The sequence below is a fragment of the Homo sapiens genome, chromosome 2 (assembly GCF_000001405.40).
Source record: "Homo sapiens chromosome 2, GRCh38.p14 Primary Assembly".
NCBI lineage: Eukaryota > Metazoa > Chordata > Mammalia > Primates > Hominidae > Homo > Homo sapiens.
Genome location: NC_000002.12, coordinates 3,314,245 through 3,333,406, shown reverse-complemented (window position 1 = coordinate 3,333,406; position 19,162 = coordinate 3,314,245). Strand labels below are relative to the sequence as shown.

Sequence of the window (19,162 nt, the reverse complement as noted above, 5' to 3'; positions counted from 1 at the left end):
AGGGGCCTCTGAGGAGGGTGTCTAGAAACAGAGTTCATTTGGAGGGCCCGGCTCTTCTTTAGGACGTGGCTATTGGTTATTTGTCAGAAGCAACAGCGTTTACATTTTATCTGTTTATTGTGCCACACTGAATCTCTGCAAATCAGTGGAAGTCTGCAGTGTGGTAGAATTCTTGTGCACGCAAGCACATGCTAGAATGAACATCACAAATATGCAGAAGTGGCTGAGCTCGTGACTTATTTTTTAAAATGCAAGCGAGAAACCCTTTCTCTGTACCCTTACTATTCTTAAGAAGGGTGGTCAGGAATGTCAGTGTTGAGCTCCCCGTGCACAGCTGAAGGATCTGGCGCCCACAGGCAGTCTCCTTGAAGAGTGATGTTCTCTTCACACTGTCTTAGAAAATGATAGAAAATTTGCATGAGGTTAAAGTATCTTAAAAAGTCAAACATTTTCAGATTAAACCCATACATCCATCTCTCCTAGCTTAAATCTCTATTCATGCAAGGAACAAGTGACAGATTGCCATCGATTACTGATAGGGATTTATAACTGCTGTTGATCTGTTTTCAGTTATTACCTGTGATGATTGTGAAAAAGACATTCTTGGAGTTGGTGGAAGGGGGAGTTGTAGCACAATAAACTCATGGAACGTTTTCTATATAGATGATGAAGATTTAAAAAAGAACTTGAACTCTCCTTTCTGATAATTTGATAAGAAAAATGCATCTCCATGAAAGCAAAATGAGGGACTGTGCCCAGGGTAGAAGCTGTCTCGACAGGACTGTACATACTTGGAACAGGAGAGATCTCAACAGTAACTGGTCTGTGGGCGTAGATTGTGGGTTGGACATGGCTGTGGGGATGGTGGCAGGTGGCAGGCTGGCCTCCGAGGAGGACGCAGGCCTCCACACACAGCAAATAACAGCACAACCTTCAGGTCTCAATTGGACCTGGAGCCCTGAGAGGCTGTGGTGTTGCCACCTGGAAGAAGCCTGGTCACGCAGGGAATTAGCATGAGTGACATATTTCTCTTGGGGTTTCTCCCTTCGGAGCTGCCGGGTACTTCCAGTCACCTCCCTCCCCAATTTGTGTGCACTTCAGAATGTGCTGCCAGCAGGCCTTGACCTTTCCGTGCATCTCACTTTCCATATTTAGAACTTGTTTCACCCACGGTTTTCTTAAGGTTCATTGAGAAAAAAGCGTATGTTTCAGATAAACATTAAAAAACCCCAACTTTGCTGCTTTTATTTCTAATGTATGTTTCTGAATTAGGGTACACCACGTGGGCCTGCCTCTGCTGACACCATCTCATGAGTGTATACACACCTGCCTCTGCTGACACCATCTCATGAGTGTATACACACCTGCCTCTGCTGACACCATCTCATGAGTGTATACACACCTGCCTCTGCTGACACCATCTCATGAGTGTATACACACCTGCCTCTGCTGACACCATCTCATGAGTGTATACACACCTGCCTCTGCTGACACCATCTCATGAGTGTATACACACCTGCCTCTGCTCACACCATCTCATGAGTGTATACACACCTGCCTCTGCTCACACCATCTCATGAGTGTATACACACCTGCCTCTGCTCACACCATCTCATGAGTGTATACACACCTGCCTCTGCTCACACCATCTCATGAGTGTATACACACCTGCCTCTGCTGACACCATCTCATGAGTGTATACACACCTGCCTCTGCTGACACCATCTCATGAGTGTATACACACCTGCCTCTGCTGACACCATCTCATGAGTGTATACACACCTGCCTCTGCTCACACCATCTCATGAGTGTATACACACCTGCCTCTGCTGACACCATCTCATGAGTGTATACACACCTGCCTCTGCTGACACCATCTCATGAGTGTATACACACCTGCCTCTGCTGACACCATCTCATGAGTGTATACACACCTGCCTCTGCTGACACCATCTCATGAGTGTATACACACCTGCCTCTGCTCACACCATCTCATGAGTGTATACACACCTGCCTCTGCTCACACCATCTCATGAGTGTATACACACCTGCCTCTGCTCACACCATCTCATGAGTGTATACACACCTGCCTCTGCTGAAACCATCTCATGAGTGTATACACACCTGCCTCTGCTCACACCATCTCATGAGTGTGTACACACCTGCCTCTGCTGACACATCTCATGAGTGTATACACACCTGCCTCTGCTCACACCATATGAGTGTACACCTGCCTCTGCTCACACCATCTCATGAGTGTGCACACGCCTGCTTCTGCTCACACCACCTCAGGAGTGTGTGCCTGCCTCTGCTCACACCATCTCATGAGTGTGTGCCCATCTTTGCTCATGTGTCTCATGAGTGTACACATGCCTGCCTCTGCTCACACCACCTCATGAGTGTGTGCACCTGTCTGCTCACACCATCTCGTGAGTGTACATGCGCTTGCCTCTGCTCACACCATCTCACGAGTGTACACTTGCCAGTCTCTGCTTACACCGTCTCATGAGTGTGTGCACCTGTCTCTGCTTACACCGTCTCATGAGTGTGTGCACCTGTCTCTGCTCACACCATCTCGAGTGTACACGTGCCTGTCTCTGCTCACACCATTCTCGTGAGTGTACATGCGCTTGCCTCTGCTCACACCATCTCACGAGTGTACACGTGCCTACCTCTGCTCACACTGTCTCATGAGTGTGCATGTACCTGCCTCCGTTTACACTGTCTCATGTGTGTGCACCTGCCTTTTCTCACACTGTCTTATGAGTGTGTGCTCCTGCCTCCACTCACACCATCTCACGAGTGCATACCTGCCTCTGCTCACACTGTCTCGTGAGTGTGCGCATTCCTACCTCTGCTCACACTGTCTCCTGGGTGGGTGTGTCTGCCTCTTCTCACACTGTTTCATGAGTGTGTGCCTGCCTCTGCTCACACCATCCTCGGCGACACTCTGTGTGGTGGCCTCTCAATCAACAGAGGGCACCAGTGGTCTGGCTCTGTGTCCCCCTTGCTCTGGACCTTCCATTGTGTCCCCTTTTGTGTCTTTGTGACCGTGTCCTAACTTGATCTGTTATACTAGTGCAAGCCATTTTGAAAACTTTCATCCACTTCTCTTGCTGCTCTCTAAATATTTTCACAGACTTTTACACCTTGCTTGAAAAACATGTTTGCAGAGTGAAACTAACTCCTGCATTTAGCTGAGGTTATACGTATTGAGTGGTGGTCACTCCAGAGCACTTTGTGGGTTTCTATAGAAAAACAAGAATGGAATTTAGTTCCTCACTCCTAAACTTCAGGAATTCGCCGAGGGGAACCTTGTCAATATCTAAGGACCTCTGACCCAGGAAGCCCAGGCTGGTGCCGCAAGATCATTAGAGAATGGTCATGGAACTGTCATCTGGGGGAGCCCAGGCTGGCACCTCGAGATCATTAGAGCATGGTGGGTAGACCTGTGATCCAGGGGAGTCCAGGCTAGTACCCTGAGATCATTATACTGTGGTATGTGGACTGATCCAAGGGAGCCCAGGCTGGTGCCCCGAGGTCATTAGAGAGTGGTCATGGAACCCTCATCTGGGGGAGCCCAGGCTGGCACCCTGAGATCATTAGAGCATGGTGGGTGGACTCTGATGTTGGGGAACCCAGGCTAATACCCTGAGATCATTAGAGCATGGCGAGTAGAGCCTGATGCAGGGGAGCCCAGGCTGGTGCCCTGAGATCATTAGAGCATGATAGGTGAACTCTGATTCAGGGGAGCCAGGCTGGCACTCGGAGATTATTAGAGCATGGTGGGTAGATCTGTGATCTAGAGGAGTCCAGGCTAGTACCCTGAGATCATTAGAGTGTGGTAGGTGGACTGATCCAAGGAAGCCCAGGCTGGCACCCCGAGATCATTAGAGTGTGGCGGGTGGGCTCTGATTCAGGGGAGCCTGGCTGGAACCTCGAGATCATTAGAGCATGGTGGGTAGACCTGTGATCCAGGGGAGTCCGGGCTAGTACCCCGAGATCATTAGAGTGTGGTAGGTGGACTGATCCAAGGAAGCCCAGGCTGGCATCCCGAGATCATTAGAGCGTGGTGGGTGGGCTCTGATTCAGGGGAGCCCAGCTGGTGCCCTGAGATCATTAGAGTGTGGTGGGTAGAGTCTGATCCAGGGGAGCCCAGCTGGTGCCCTGAGATCACTAGAGCCTGGTGGGTGGGCTCTGATTCAGGGGAGCCCAGCTGGTGCCCTGAGATCATTAGAGCCTGGTGGGTGGGCTCTGATTCAGGGGAGCCCAGGCTGGTGCCCTGAGATCATTAGAGCGTGGTGGGTGGGCTCTGATTCAGGGGAGCCTGGCTGGTGCCCTGAGATCATTAGAGCGTGGTGGGTGGGCTCTGATTCAGGGAGCCCAGGCTGGCACCCTGAGATCATTAGAACGTGGTGGGTGGGCTCTGATTCAGGGGAGCCTGGCTGGTGCCCTGAGATCATTAGAGCGTGGTAGGTGGGCTCTGATTCAGGGGAGCCCAGGCTGGCACCCCGAGATCATTAGAGTGTGGTGGGTGGGCTCTGATTCAGGGGAGCCCAGCTGGTGCCCTGAGATCATTAGAGCGTGGTGGGTGGGCTCTGATTCAGGGGAGCCTGGCTGGTGCCCTGAGATCATTAGAGTGTGGTGGGTGGGCTCTGATTCAGGGGAGCCCAGCTGGTGCCCTGAGATCATTAGAGCGTGGTGGGTGGGCTCTGATTCAGGGGAGCCTGGCTGGTGCCCTGAGATCATTAGAGCGTGGTGGGTGGGCTCTGATCCAGGGGAGCCCAGCTGGCACCCTGAGATCATTAGAGCGTGGTGGGTAGAGTCTGATCCAGGGGAGCCCAGGCTGGCACCCTGAGATCATTAGAGCGTGGTGGGTGGGCTCTGATTCAGGGGAGCCTGGCTGGCACCGAGATCATTAGAGCTTGGTGGGTGGGCTCTGATTCAGGGGAACCCAGGCTGGCACCCTGAGATCATTAGAGCGTGGTGGATGGGCTCTGATTCAGGGGAGCCTGGCTGGCACCCTGAGATCATTAGAGTGTGGTGGGTGGGCTCTGATCCAGGGAACCCAGGCTGACCCCTCTAGAGCATTAAACGTGGTGGACCCCATGTGATGAGCAGGCCATAGGGGTGGCACCCCCCAGGTGGAAATGGTCCTTAGAGAGGGATCTCTCAGTGTGAGGCAGACTCATGTGCTTCCCGTCTGAGGTAGTCTGCTGTGACAGGTGTGAGCACGGATGTTTGGACCTGGAGGTCTGAGTTCCAGGGAACGGTGCCAACACATGAGCTTCCCACGGCTCCCCAGGTGCCATCCCTCTGCCTTTGTGCCTTTCTATGGCTCTGGCCCACTCCCCACCCTCTCTTGTCTACACATCGGGAGCTCTTTTTTACCCTTAGAAATGGAGACCAAGGTGGGTAGATTGCTTGAGCCCAGGAGTTCAAGACCAGTCTGGGCAACACGAGAAGATGCAGTGACCCGTGATTGTGCCACTGCACTCCAGCCTGGGTGACAGAGTTAGACCCTATCTCAAAAAGAAAAAAAAAATACAGGATAGTTCATCTGTGGAGTTTAACAACAAAACGAGTTGAGTATACAGAGATTGAGAATAAAACCATGGTTACATGGTTAAGGAAGGGGCACTGGGAACTGTAGGTCTGAGGATGCAAAGTAGCAGGTATGTTGGATGGAGAAGGCCAGAGGCCTCATTTACAGCAGGGCTGTTGTTGATTATCTTCTATCATATTTGGGATTTTCACTAAATGAGTGGATTGTAGCTACTCTTGCCACAGAAAAAGAGAATGAGCAACTGTGTGAGCTGATGGATATGTTAATTCGCTTCACTATAGTGACCTTTTCTCTCTATCTCAGCATCATGTTGCAGACCTTAAGTATAGACAATAAAATTTTTTTAAAAATGGAAAAGGGCCAGCGCAGTGACTCACACCTGTTATCCCAGCACTATGGGAGGCCAAGGCGGACAGATCACTTGAGGTCAGGAGCTCGAGACAAGCCTGGCCAACATGGTGAAACCCCATCTCTACTAAAAATACAAAAATTAGCCGGGTGTGGTGGTGCGTGCCTGTAGTCCCAGCTACTCGAGAGGCTGAGGCAGGAGAATCGCTTGACCCCGGGAGGTGGCGGTTGCAGTAGGCTGAGATCATGCCACTGCACTCCAGCCTGGGCGACAGGATGAGACTGTCTCAAAAAATAAATGAAATGACATGACATGACATCTATGGCATATCCACCGCCTCCTGAAGGCCCCGCTCTACCCTAGCTCCCCGGGGTCCCACCCCATCTCCCGGCCCCTGTGTGGCCGTTTCTGCCAGAGCACTTGTCTCCCTGTTTCCTGTCTCGCCTGCTGACTGGAAGCCCCCGGCAGGCCTGGACGCGGCTGCCTGCCTCTGTGCCAAGCACCCTGGCCTGCAGAGGCCACGCAGCTTCGGCCGCTCATCCTGGCACCATCTTCCTCTGAAACATGACTCCGTTTGAGGGATCAGCCATTTTGCTACATCATAGCTGCTCAGAACATAGTGACAGACTGAATCGACTAATTTGAACTATGTTGAAATTATCATCTCAGTGAGATTTAGGAAGATACAGTGGATTTTTCTTGGGAACAAGGCTGCTGAGGTGTACTGAATAAATCAGTAGGAGGAAACGTAAGAGAATGACAACTGAGCAGCTAAATTCCTCTGGGTCTGCATCCTTAGGTACTGCAGTGTCCTGGAAGTGAAATGTGTGTGACGCGGAATGGGTTCTTCCCCCTTTCTCTGTCTCGCTTCTTCTGTCACACCCTGGACATGAGAACTTAGCACACTCCAGGGAGGCGTTTGTGAATGAGTGAGACCCACTGTCAGGTTGTACTGAAAAATTAAAAAGGGGAGCTAGATGTAAAGTGGTCCAGGTATTTTCCCAGCCTTTCTTTTACCTCCTTAGGTGGGCATGGTGGGAGCAGGGCAGTGGAGGCTGGGGAGGCAGCGGTCTTGCAGGGGTATCGGGCAGTGGAGAGGGCACCAGATTTGGTGGCTGGAAAACCTAGACTCTCTGCTTTTCCCTCTGCTGCTTACCGGCTCTCCAATCCCGGACCAGTCAAGTAACCTCTGGAGCGTTCATCTGTAAAATGGGCACAGTTGACTAACACCGCTGTTAAATAATGAGAAAACATGAGGCTGCTGTGAACAGGTTTGTCTCAGAGTTGGATCTATGTACCCTGCAAGGACGGGACTCCAGGGATGTGTGCAAACAGTCCTGAGCAGTGGGCTCTGAGCATCTAGAGCACACCTTATGCCCAGTCCAGGGCACCTTACCCCTTACCCCCAGGAGAGGGGGGCAGTGCTGCAGCCATAGCCTCCTCTGCACTGGGGAGCAGCCGCCTCAGGAGCCCCTGGCACAGGCAACAAAGCCCACTGGAAGCATTGGGCCAGCCCAGGAGTCTATCCGCCCTCACGGCTCACTGACCGAGCCTTCCCTTCCATGATGGGAGCTTCTTAAGCAGGGCACAGCACCTCCAGGGGTGGGTGGCAGGGTGCCAGGGGCACCTGAAGCCACAGGATAAGGGTGGTGCGTCTTTCTGTAGTGTTACTTCTATTTGATTTTGAGTAATGAAAACATGATTTATAGCCTGAAATGAATGTAGATATGTTACAAAGTAGAATGCAAACTGTGCGGTAATCTCTCAAGTGAAACATGAGGCTTGTGGAGGGTCCCTTCAGAGAAGGTCCCCAGGCCCTGTTATGCAAACACGTAGCAGTGTGTAAAGGATGCTGTCACAGTAGGATATGCTTTCTCTTTCCTCTGCCATTGGTGTGGCTCCCTGAAGACAAGGACAGAAGCTCTGTTTTCGGGGGTTGGGAGTAGGGAGGGTGGCACAGGGAAGGTTTTGTGCTGAAATGGGCCCTTTCACTGGGCGGCCCTCGAGTGGAAGGTGGCCCGCCCCAGCTTCCTGTCACCGCTTCACTGTCTTGACTTTCCTTTGCCAAATCCAAAGGGCCACAGTGGACAGGATGCTGGTCCTCTCTGAAGACCCCACCTCCTTTTCACCTCATCTCCTCCGCAGTGGGAGAATTCCCATTCTCACAACCTGGAGATGCACCTCCCACTGTACCTGTGAGCATCAGGCGTGCTCTGCACAGGCTCGCTGCACAGGGCCCCACGCTGGGGACACCTCTTGGGGCTGCTCAGTGATGCAGGATGATATTTGGGGTGGTCCTGACCGCCGGCCCTTGCAGGGAGCCCAGAGCTTGGCCTTCTCGTCAACTTTCCTTTTTGGGCCCAGTTGTAGCTCTGTCTCCCTGGGAACCAGAGAGGGGCAGTGCTCTAGCAGGTCACTAGGCAGGGTTGCTTATGATAAAAGACAGAACTGATCAGGCAGTTGTGTCTGGACTTAGGACTCTGACCCTAAACCCCTGGAGGCCGTTCTTTGGCCTTGCTGAGGGTGGCGGTCCTGCCAGATTGTGGGAACCTGGAAGCGCTGCTTTTCAGGTTGTTACAGCTCCTGTGAGGCGTGAGGCCCTAAAACCAAGGCGCCACTGACCCCAGCCTGGTGAGGGTCAGGCCCTCCCCCCGAGGTGCTGGAGGCGCGGCAGCGGCCACTTCGGAAGTCTGAGCGCGCAGGCCGCCTGCACTCCCCCCGGCGTGACCGGGGCCCACGAGGCTGGATCCTGGGGATCTTCCAGCGGGCCTCCTGCCTACTGCATCATCCCACTGACCAGAGTTGAGGACGTCCTGAGAGACTGATTATTAGAGTGACGAGTGGTCACGAAATGCTTCACAAACAAGTGGTGCCCTGGGCAGGGTCGGCTTTCAGAAGGTGCCGCCTTGAGCGGGTGGGTGGCCAGGGGCTGCCCTAAGCCTGAGTTAGCATCATGGGAGAATCCCCCCAGGACAGACAGCTGCCCGAAGCTGCAGGGCCCGTATGTGGCCACGGCCTGGGAGTCCAGCCTGGAGGGCAGCATCCTGCATCCTGAGGAGCAGCAGTGGGCACACGGAGCGACACTGTCTAAGCACTGGGCCACTGCCCGGGAGGAGCTGGGAAAGCCAGGTGGGTGCCGGGAATGGTGCAGCCTCGTGTGCTGCTCATCATGGGCTCTGTGGGTGTCCCTGCAGGGGCCGTTAATCATGTCCCCAGGGGCAGTGAGCTGTCTCGGGTGGGTCCTGCGCTCCAGGGGCTGGGGACCTGCTCTGGCTTTCACAGTGCCACATGTCGCTCGTGCAGTGCCTGGGGAGGAGGTGCTCCTGTCTCTGAGCCTCAGTCTTCTCATCTGTAAGATGGGAGGAATTCCGTCTGCCTTGACTACTTTAGACTTTGTTGGGATTCAGAGAAGGCCGTGTGCATAACATGCTTTTGTTATGTGATTTCTTAAATCGTTGTTCTGTCCCGTCATTGTTTTCACACTGGCGCTGTGAATTCAGTTTTCCTACATGTCTGGGCCTTGACTCTGAACCTTCCAAGAGTGTTCAGCCTCACCCTTGCTGCCTACTCCAACACGGCAGCAGCGGAGCACCCCTGCCTCCGCCAGCAGGGCCCAGTGCTGCCTGTGCCACGCACTGTGCTGCCTCCTTATGCAGATGGGTTCATTTAGCCCCGTGATACTAAGCAGCAGACACTGTTGGAAATCCCAGCTTTTCAGATGAGAAAACAGGGTTCATAGAGGTTGCCTGGAGGCTGGATTCAAACCTGGGCCCATCCAGACTCTGCTCTGGGTGTCTTCACGTCTTGCCACCATAGCTCCCAGACTCTCCCTCACATGGTAATTCTCTGTAAGGGACTTTAAAGGCACTCCTCAGGAGGAGGCTGCTCACGTGGCTTGGTTCATGGAGGCTGACAACACGGCGAACGTTGGCTGAGGGCCCATGTCCATCGTGGACCTGTGCCCCGAGGCCACAAGGAGAAAATGCAGAATGAAGACCTTGTCGCGTGCAGGGCTCGGAGGAAACTTAAGGAACTCTTTACCCTCATCAGTGAAGGAGACTAAAAATATGAACAGATGAAGGGCATGGATGTCCTCATGGTGTCAGATTTGTCGTAGGAAGCCGGGGATACTGGGGGCAGTTCCCCAAACCTTTCAGGCAGATACCACCCCCACATCACCTTTGGTGTCCCTGCCAGAAGCCTCGTTCCTGGCTGGGGGGACCACTGGTTTAACCGGGGATTCCACGTCTTGAGCCTAAAACCTTTAATTTCTGGTCTTCTGACACGCCTATATGGAATCATTGCAAATATGGAATGAAATTTTATAATTTTTATCATCCTGAGAGATTATCCTCTTCAGTGACTAGGTTTTTTTTTTTTAAAGAAAAAATCAGAGAGAGGAACTGTAATATAAGATTAGCTTATCTGCCAATTTCTGAATCTCCGGAAAGAGCCAGAGGTTATGAAGACTTTAATGTTTTTGCATTTTCGTAACGTTTGTCGCTTTTCGCTTATATATTGGCTGTGGCGACAGGGACACCTCGCACGTACGCCAAGGCATCCCAGCCAGATCACCCACTCGCTTCGGCAGCTGCGGGAGGGACGGTGCTGATGGGACAGGGCCCTGCCTTAAGCTCCCTAGTGAGCACTGGCCTGGGGACTTCCCACTTTGCTGATGAAGGAACTGGAGCATTGTGAGTGACTTTCTCAAGGCCACCTGCGCAGTGCAAGGGCGGATTTGGGATTCCGGCTTTGAGCTCTGCCTCCAGGCTGTGCTGTCTTCACCGGACCCTGTGGCCTCTCTGTTCAGCCAAAGGCAGATGTGTGTGCGAGGGACTCTGTCAATGGAATTCATCCCAAGGCTGCTCACCAAGTTAGGGCGTCCACAGTCAGTGCTGGATGAGGAAGACCACAGGATTGCAACTTAGGAGACTTAAGTTTTGCCGTGATTTTGCCAAAAATCAGTCCTGTAATCTCTGACACCTGAACTTTGTAGGTTCCATTTTTGTCATCTGCAAGAAAGGAAACTTAACCGTGGTTACGGCTAAGACCCTTTTCTATTTCCTGCTCTAGACATTCATTGTCATTTGCCTTTTTGAAAACATTTTTTGAGCTTTTGTTGTGATCGAGACAAAACAGTAAGTACTCAGGACAGAGAGATGAGAAGACTCAGTCCCAAACTCCAGGCACCCACCATCTAATGGGGCAGACATGAGCGACACAGCCAGTGTGTCCTGGTCAGCTAGTGCAGTTTCAACGCTGCTTTAGGGTCCTCACCGTGACCATCACCTCACCGTGACCGTCAGCCCTAAAGCCAAGGCACCACGGAGGCCCTGCCAGGGGAGGACCGTGCTGACCTCGCTGGGAAGAGCGGATTTCAGAATCCCACTCTGGCTCCTGATCCGACAGTGGAATATGCCCTGGGCCCAGGTCTTTGGACATCTTCCCGTGAAGTGAGGGTGGAATTCACCACCGATCCCTCGGATAAGATGCTGTCGAGAATTGGCTTTTGGAATCCTTCATTGTGAAGAGCAGCCTGTATCATTTGAGCTCATGCGTGGCTGTGGGCAGCGTGGCCTTTGTGGAGATTTCCACTGCTGAGGAGTCCGTGGATGAGGCAGCGTCTGTGCCTTCTGTTCACTGGGAGTGATGTCTGATGTGCCCGCCTGGTCCAGGACGTGCTTTTTAAGCTGTAGAAAGAAGGTGCTGAACTAGAGGGTTCCTGAGATTTCTTTTAGCTTCGAGGTCTGGAGGCTCTCTGCTCATAGTGAAAACTGTATCCTCCTCTACAGATTAACAAGAAAGTCAAGATACAATGGTTCTTGTTTAAAGATGCATTTTCCCCTTGATCTCTGCACCAAATGAGAAGAAAGTTGCATTTTTGAGTGGTTACTTTGCATTGTGAAAATAAGCTGAGAGAAGAAGTGGGTTTTCGCTGGAAAATAGTATTCTTAGTCTCCTCTTTGTGAAACCAGAATTCTGAGAGAAAATGACCGAGAGCCCTTTGAAAGAATGGAGTACGTGAGAGGTGGGGAGAAAAGTTGGAATCCATCAGCCTCATCGTCAAGTGCCTGCTTAAAGACGGGGCGGCGGGGGCAGAGGACGCTCTGCTGCACTCAAGATGCTGATACATTTCTCAAGCATGCCGGCTTGTGTGTCTCCGGTTAAAGTTTCCTTCCCATTTTCTGTGCAGATGTTAAAAGATTGACTCCTTTCCTTTTTTCAGGGTATAGGTGCTCAGCTGGGAAAGGTGAGAGTTAAATTTTCTCATGATGCTGGTGCCAAGAAATAGCACCTTGAAAAGAGAAAGAAATCAAGACATGATCTCCAGGGAGCTGTCGTTTGGAGCACATTCCCGAGAGCTCTCCCTGGGCCGGGAGGCTGCGTGGTGTCGTTCCCCTCAGCAGCATGCTTCAGGTGGAGCCTCCTGCCCTGTTCAGATATGTTAGATAAAAACACCTTGACAGTGCCAGCCCGTCTTTAATTTTCACACCATCTCAAGTAAAATATGTTTTGAAATGAAAACATTTTGCATTTTATTTTAAGCTTATTTTTGGGGCTCTAATTTTTTTTAAGACTAACAAAAACAGAGTCAGGTGACCTATCTTCTCTGGAATAGCCGTGCACTAACCAAATTGTCAGCTGAAGAGGGTTTTGCTTTGGAGGCATAAGCCCAGACAGGTCTGAAGTTGAGTGTATCTGCTGAATTAACAACAGAAAGGGTTTCTTTTGGTCCTTTTTCTTTTGGGATTCCTATGGAAATAGTTCACTGGGGTCACTTTGGTGAGAGAGAGGAAAACAGCATGAAATATCAATTCACCTGAGTTCTGTTTGTTGTGATTTCAGGGAACAAGTTATTATTTCAGTTCAATGATACTTCCTTTAGGGTGTGGGTTGCTAAGTCTTATTTACCATAAACTGTGAGTTTCATTGCTGCCTGGTCTAATAAATAGTTCATTTGTTAGTGATAAATGTTAACATAGCCTAGCAAAGAGAGCGTCTGTGCCCTCCCACCTTAGTGCAAGAAGAGGAAGCAGAGTTGCTGGGGGCTGCCTCTGGGACTTTGTATGCAGGACCTGGAGCACACAGGTGCAGTGTTGTCCGCAGGTGTGGTGTTTTCCTGCCCGCAGGTGCGGTGTTGCCCACAGGTGTCGTGCTGTCTGCAGGTGCGGTGTTGTCCTGCCCGCAGGTGTGGTGTCATCCGCAGGTATAGTGTTGTCTGCAGGTGTGGTGTTGCCCTGCCTGCAGGTGTGGTGTTGGCTGCAGGTGTGTTATCCCCAGGTATGGTGTTGCCCTGCCTGCAGGTGCGGGTCACCCATAGGTGCGGTGTTGCCTGCAGGGGTGGTGTTGCCCGCAGGGGTGGTGTTGCCCCCAGGGGCGGTGTTGCCCTGCCTGCAGGTGCGGTGTTGCCCGCAGGTGTGATATTGCTCTGCCTGCAGGGGTGGTGTTGCCCGCAGGTGCAGTATTGCTCTGCCTCAGGGGTGGTGTTGCCCGCAGGTGTGGTATTGCTCTGCCTCAGGGGTGGTGTTGCCCGCAGGGGTGGTGTTGCCCGCAGGTGCAGTATTGCCCTGCCCACAGGTGCGGTGTTGTCCACAGGTGCGGTGTTGTCCACAGGGGTGGTGTTGCCCGCAGGGGTGGTGTTGCCCACAGGTGCAGTATTGCCCTGCCTGCAGGTGCGGTGTTGCCCGCAGGGGTGGTGTTGCCCGCAGGTGCAGTATTGCCCTGCCTGCAGGTGCGGTGTTGCCCGCAGGTGTGGTATTGCTCTGCCTGCAGGGGTGGTGTTGCCTGCAGGGGTGGTGTTGCCCGCAGGTGCAGTGTTGTTTGCTGGAGGGAGGAAGAGCACACCGGGCGTGGTGGACAGAACAGCCTCGACTGTAGCCGGTACTTGGGCATGGAGAGTGATAAGGAAACCTCAGAAGACTGGAGCTTGGGCCCCAACTCCACTACTCGTGGTGGGTCCTTGGGCAGGTCATGTACGGTTTTTGGCTTCCATCATTTTCATCATCCTTATTTTATACATGAGGTAACGGGATAACGAAGATGACCGTGAAGATGATGACAATGACAGCTCCCATCGAGTGCTCATGTGCCAGGCACGGGGATCGGCGCTTTCTGGGAATGATCAAGTTGAGTCCTCTGTGCCATTGGCCTTTTCCCCTGAGGGAGTTGTTGCAATGACCTGCCGGGCCAGCAGCGCTAATTAGGAGCACACAGCGCACTTCCAGAGCACCTGACCTACAGCTACAAGGCTTCAAGGATGCTGCTTCTGAGGCACAGATTTTGTAAATACGCCTTGTTGTATAAACATGTTTTCTTCTTGCTGGTTTTTGTCACGCAGGATGGAGATGTAACTATTGTCTCAGAGTGACATTTGTAATGACGCTCAAGCACTGGAGTTTAGAAGCCAATGAGATTAAATATCTTAAACACTTTTCTCCTTTCTGTCTTTAGAAGTAAAATTAGATGTTATGGACCCAACTATTTTGTTGCTGGGGTAAGTTCCAAGTATCTGAATTCCTTCTTGTCTTTTTAGGAGACATCATAGAATCGTTTGGCATTCTTCCTGTAGCTCAGAGTCCCACGATTGTCTTTGTAAACACGTTGCACCAGGTCTTCTTCAGGGGACAGGTCGCAGGTGAGCTCAAAGGTGTTTATGTAAACAAGCACCCCTCCTGAGTTTGGGGTGCATGTGTGGCGATCGAGGAGTAGCACGTCACCAGATGTATTTTGGCTTCAGAGTTTGGAACGGTGTGTGAGGAGAACTCTGATTGCCGGGACAGAGCTGAGCATTGCAGAATGAGAGTCCTGGTTCTGGATATGAAGGACGTGAATAGCAAGGGGCTTCAGACAGTAGGGAGCACCTGTGTTTTTTGTTTAGTTGTGTTATGGAAATGAGGCATGGCTCTGGAATAGTGGGCCATTTTTTCGAGGCCGACTCCTGTGTTGTTTCTTGCGTTCCTCACTGACTCTTCAGATCCCGTTTGTATCATCTCTCTGTCCTCATTGACTTTCTGTAGCACCTCCAAATTCAGTGTCATCTGGCAGTGGAATTAATGTGCTGTTTATGGCTCCTTCCAGATCACTAATGAAGATGTGAAATAAGACTTGGTCCCTGGAGCAGCCCACGACGGCTCCTCACGGCGTCCTGCTCTATCATTTGCCGGGTGCTTTGTTTATGGCCCTTCCTCCAGGTTTCAGCCCACGAGGGGGTGCTTAGACAAAGCCCAATTTGAATTAATTTTTCCAGTAAGACTGTAAAGAACCGGGGCCAGCTTCTCCCTCAACCCCACATGTGTGGTGTGCTGCGCTCTTCTGCGGCCTGCTGGTCTGCGCCCTGCCCTTGGCCCACAGCCGTTTCGACATGGCAGCGGTTCCACTTGGAGGTGCAGAGAGGAGCCGTTAGGAGCCACGGCTGTGCGCCTGGGACCCAGCAGGAAGCAGGTGTGACCTTGAGATGATGCCCCGTCCGAAGTGCTGTGCATCCCGTTAGGCAGGTGCTGAGCCCGTGTCTCGGGCAGCCTGGACGGCTGAAGCAGAACACTGTGAACTGGGTGGCCCAGGCAACAGAAGTTAATTTCCTCCCGGGTCTGGAGGCTGGAGCTTCAGGGTCAGGCATGGCAGGGCTGGTCCTCCTGAGGCTATGCTCTGGGCCTGCCATCGGTCCCTTCTCACCGTGGCATCATGTGGCCTCTCCTCTGTGCACGTGCAAACCCCACGTCTCTTTCTCTTCTCATAGGGACCCAGGACCCACCTGATGACCTCCTCTAACCTTAGTTACCTCCTTAGAGGCTCTGTCTCCAGTACAGTCACACTGGGTCTAGGGCTTCAGTGTATGAATTAGGCGGGGGAATTGGGGGTGGATTCAGTCCATATAGCTTGGAGTCTTCAGTGTGTTTATTTAAGTAAGGTGGGAGGGGCCTCTATCTAGACTCGACCCTCACAGCTGCTGCGAGGTCACCTGCCTGTCAGCGCCTCATGCGCTCCCGGCACTCCGTGCTCCACCCCGCATGTGAGGCACACAGTAGGCCCTCAGCTCGGTCAGTGCCTCATGCGCTCCCAGGGCTCCGTGCTCCACCCTGCGTGCGAGGCACACAGTAGGCCCTCAGCTCGGTCAGCACCTTGTGCGCTCCTGGGGCTCCATGCTCCACCCCGCGTGCGAGGCACACAGTAGGCCCTCAGCTCGGTCAGCACCTCGTGCGCTCCTGGGGCTCTGTTCTCTACCCGGCATGCAAGGCGCACAGTAGGTCCTCAGCTTGGTCAGTGCCTCATGTGCTCCTGGGTCTCTGTGCTCCACCCCATGTGCAAGGCACACAGTAGGCCCTCAGCTTGGTCAGTGCCTCATGCGCTCCTGGGGCTCTGTGCTCCACCCCACATGCAAGGCACACAGTAGGCCCTCAGCTCGGTCAGTGCGTCATGCGCTCCTGGGGCTCTGTGCTCCACCCCATGTGCAAGGTACACTGTAGGCCCTCAGCTTGGTCAGTGCTTCATGTGCTCCTGGGTCTCCATGCTCCACCCCATGTGCAAGGCACAGAATCCTCAGCTCACACATGCACTATTTCTGTGCGTCTGACTCTTGGTGGTACCTGACAGCACATGGTCTGTTTTCCTGAGGCATTTTGAGTCTCTCACTGTTGGGACTGTGTCTAGACTATGGCAAGAGGTTGGCGTGGCTGGGGAAGGTGTGGACCAGGTCAGGGGGCTGTGAGGCCAAGGAGCCTGGTGGCCTGGCTAGCGTCTGTTCTGCAGCCAACTTTGTGGTTTGTTACTTGAAGTTATCTGTACAGCAACCCTTTGGGGAAAAAAGTAGTAATTACACAGCTTCATTGTGAAAAGTCAACGTGAAGACAGAAAAACTGGGTGAAAGTTGAAAAGCAGGAACTTGAGGAATGGGTCTCATAGAACGTGTGAGTGTGGCCTGTGAGTTGGGAGAGAGGCAGGATTCTGTCCAAATAGTAATGAATTTGCAACATCAGGTATAATGGCTGCCTGTGGATTGCCTCATAGGAAGTTTGTGTAGAAGTATGGGACTTAAATGTACCTAATCAAGGTCTATTTCAGGCATTAAATAAATAAATAAATAGATAAGTACTTAAGCCAAGCTGGTGTGCCACAGTGGCTTTGCAAAAACATGGTAAACAGATGGTGAGGAGATTGTTCCTCTGGGCAGGTGCTGCAGACTCCAAGATAAAAGCATGAGGGTAGAGGGGTCCTGGGTGTGGTGGAGGGGGTGGGAGTGGGGATGGTGGTGATGATGATAATGGTGGTGGCGATAACAGTGGTGGAATGGGGGTAGGGACTGGGATGGTGATGGTGGGAGTGGGTGTGGGGGTGGTGATGATGGTGGTGGTGATGGTGGTGGGGGTGTGTATGGGGATGGTGGTGAGGATGGTGGTGGGGGTGTGTATGGGGATGGTGGTGAGGATGGTGGTGGGGGTGTGTATGGGGATGGTGGTGATGGTGGTGGTAGGGGGTGTGGATGGGGATGGTGGTGATGGTGGTGGTAGGGGCTGTGGATGGGGATGGTGGTGATGGTGGTGGTAGGGGGTGTGGATGGGGATGGTGGTGATGGTGGTGGTAGGGGGTGTGGATGGGGATGGTGGTGATGGTGGTGGTAGGGGGTGTGGATGGGGATGGTGGTGATGGTGGTGGTAGGGGGTGTGTATGGGGATGGTGGTGAGGATGGTGGTAGGGGGTGTGTATGGGGATGGTGGTGATGGTGGTAGGGGGTGTGTATGGGGATGGTGGTGATGGTGGTGGTAGGGGGTGTGGATGGGGATGGTGGTGATGGTGGTGGTAGGGGGTGTGGATGGGGATGGTGGTGATGGTGGTGGTAGGGGGTGTGGATGGGGGATGGTGGTGATGGTGGTGGTAGGGGCTGTGGATGGGGATGGTGGTGATGGTGGTGGTAGGGGGTGTGGATGGGGATGGTGGTGATGGTGGTGGTAGGGGGTGTGGATGGGGATGGTGGTGATGGTGGTGGTAGGGGGTGTGGATGGGGATGGTGGTGATGGTGGTGGTAGGGGCTGTGGATGGGGATGGTGGTGATGGTGGTGGTAGGGGGTGTGGATGGGGATGGTGGTGATGGTGGTGGTAGGGGGTGTGGATGGGGATGGTGGTGATGGTGGTGGTAGGGGGTGTGGATGGGGATGGTGGTGATGGTGGTGGTAGGGGGTGTGTATGGGGATGGTGGTGAGGATGGTGGTAGGGGGTGTGTATGGGGATGGTGGTGATGGTGGTGGTAGGGGGTGTGTATGGGGATGGTGGTGATGGTGGTGGTAGGGGGTGTGGATGGGGATGGTGGTGATGGTGGTGGTAGGGGGTGGTGATGATGGTAGGCATGGGGGCGATGCTAGTGATGATGATGGTGGTGTGGACGGAGGTGGTGAAGACAGTGATATGGATGGCGGTGGTGATGACTGTGGTGGGGTACAGGTGTTGGGGGCGGGTGGCGGGTGATGGTGGGGACATGTGAGTAAGTGCAGCACGAGGGGATGCAGTTTGCCGGAGAGCAGCAGCAGAAGATGCTGTGTGGACACCGCCAGGGCAGGGCCTTGCCAGGGAGGCCTCAGGGTGACCAGCACTCTTGTTGCTGGTCCTGAGAGTGAGCGGCAGGTCACCAGGCAGAGCCCGTGGGGCACAACTCAGGCCTAGGTGAGAGCATCCGCAGGTGCATGCAGCTTGTTGGTCCAGTGCGGCTGAGGCAGGTCCTGGGGAGAGGCTAGCTGGAGGCTGGGGGAGAGAGCTTTCTGCAGGCAGTCAGAGGGGCATCGGAGCCTAGAACCAGAGGAGTCCCAGGATCAGGTGTGTCCTTCAGAAGGTCCCAGGGGGATTGGGAGGGGACACAAGAGAGGGACGGCAACAGGCTGGCCGGTGAGTGAGACCACCGAGGGCCCTGAGCCCAGCTCCTGCTCCTCTTCTGCCTGTCACAGAAATGCTTGTCACCCTGTGGTCTTGGAAAGATAGTCTTTACGAAGAAAAGCCAAGTACAGTGAAAATATGAAAATCCTCAACATACTGGTGAAATTTCAGGAAGACCAAAAAAGAGAGTATAGCCTTAAAAATAATAAATGTCCACCCATGATGGAGAATAAATGTAAAATGATGTGGCAAAGATTGATAAATTAGGACTGTGAAGCCTGCTGTATAATTGGGAACTGGCTTAGCTCGAGCAAGCCCTGGCCTCAGGAAAGGGGGCTGAGTGGCAGCTGGCATTAGCGGCAGCCGGAATCAATCTCCTGCCTCTGTAC

General features: G+C 53.0%; 1 protein-coding gene across 5 annotated transcripts in view, besides 3 other annotated features; it reads left to right on the top strand.

The window, feature by feature from the left end:
* The window catches only part of EIPR1 (EARP complex and GARP complex interacting protein 1), a 188,849-nt gene that overhangs the window by 44,412 nt on the left and 125,275 nt on the right, over nt 1-19,162 (top strand). The window lies entirely within an intron of this gene.
* Nucleotides 9,516-10,043: an enhancer, noted in NCBI's record as "H3K4me1 hESC enhancer chr2:3327135-3327662 (GRCh37/hg19 assembly coordinates)". NCBI's record gives its function as "activates a minimal SCP1, AML or CMV promoter by ChIP-STARR-seq in primed H9 embryonic stem cells {active_cell/tissue: H9 hESC(primed)}" and the evidence as "EXISTENCE:reporter gene assay evidence [ECO:0000049][PMID:30033119]".
* Nucleotides 10,044-10,571: an enhancer, noted in NCBI's record as "H3K4me1 hESC enhancer chr2:3326607-3327134 (GRCh37/hg19 assembly coordinates)". NCBI's record gives its function as "activates a minimal SCP1, AML or CMV promoter by ChIP-STARR-seq in primed H9 embryonic stem cells {active_cell/tissue: H9 hESC(primed)}" and the evidence as "EXISTENCE:reporter gene assay evidence [ECO:0000049][PMID:30033119]".
* Nucleotides 13,316-13,927: an enhancer, noted in NCBI's record as "H3K27ac-H3K4me1 hESC enhancer chr2:3323251-3323862 (GRCh37/hg19 assembly coordinates)". NCBI's record gives its function as "activates a minimal SCP1, AML or CMV promoter by ChIP-STARR-seq in naive H9 embryonic stem cells {active_cell/tissue: H9 hESC(naive)}" and the evidence as "EXISTENCE:reporter gene assay evidence [ECO:0000049][PMID:30033119]".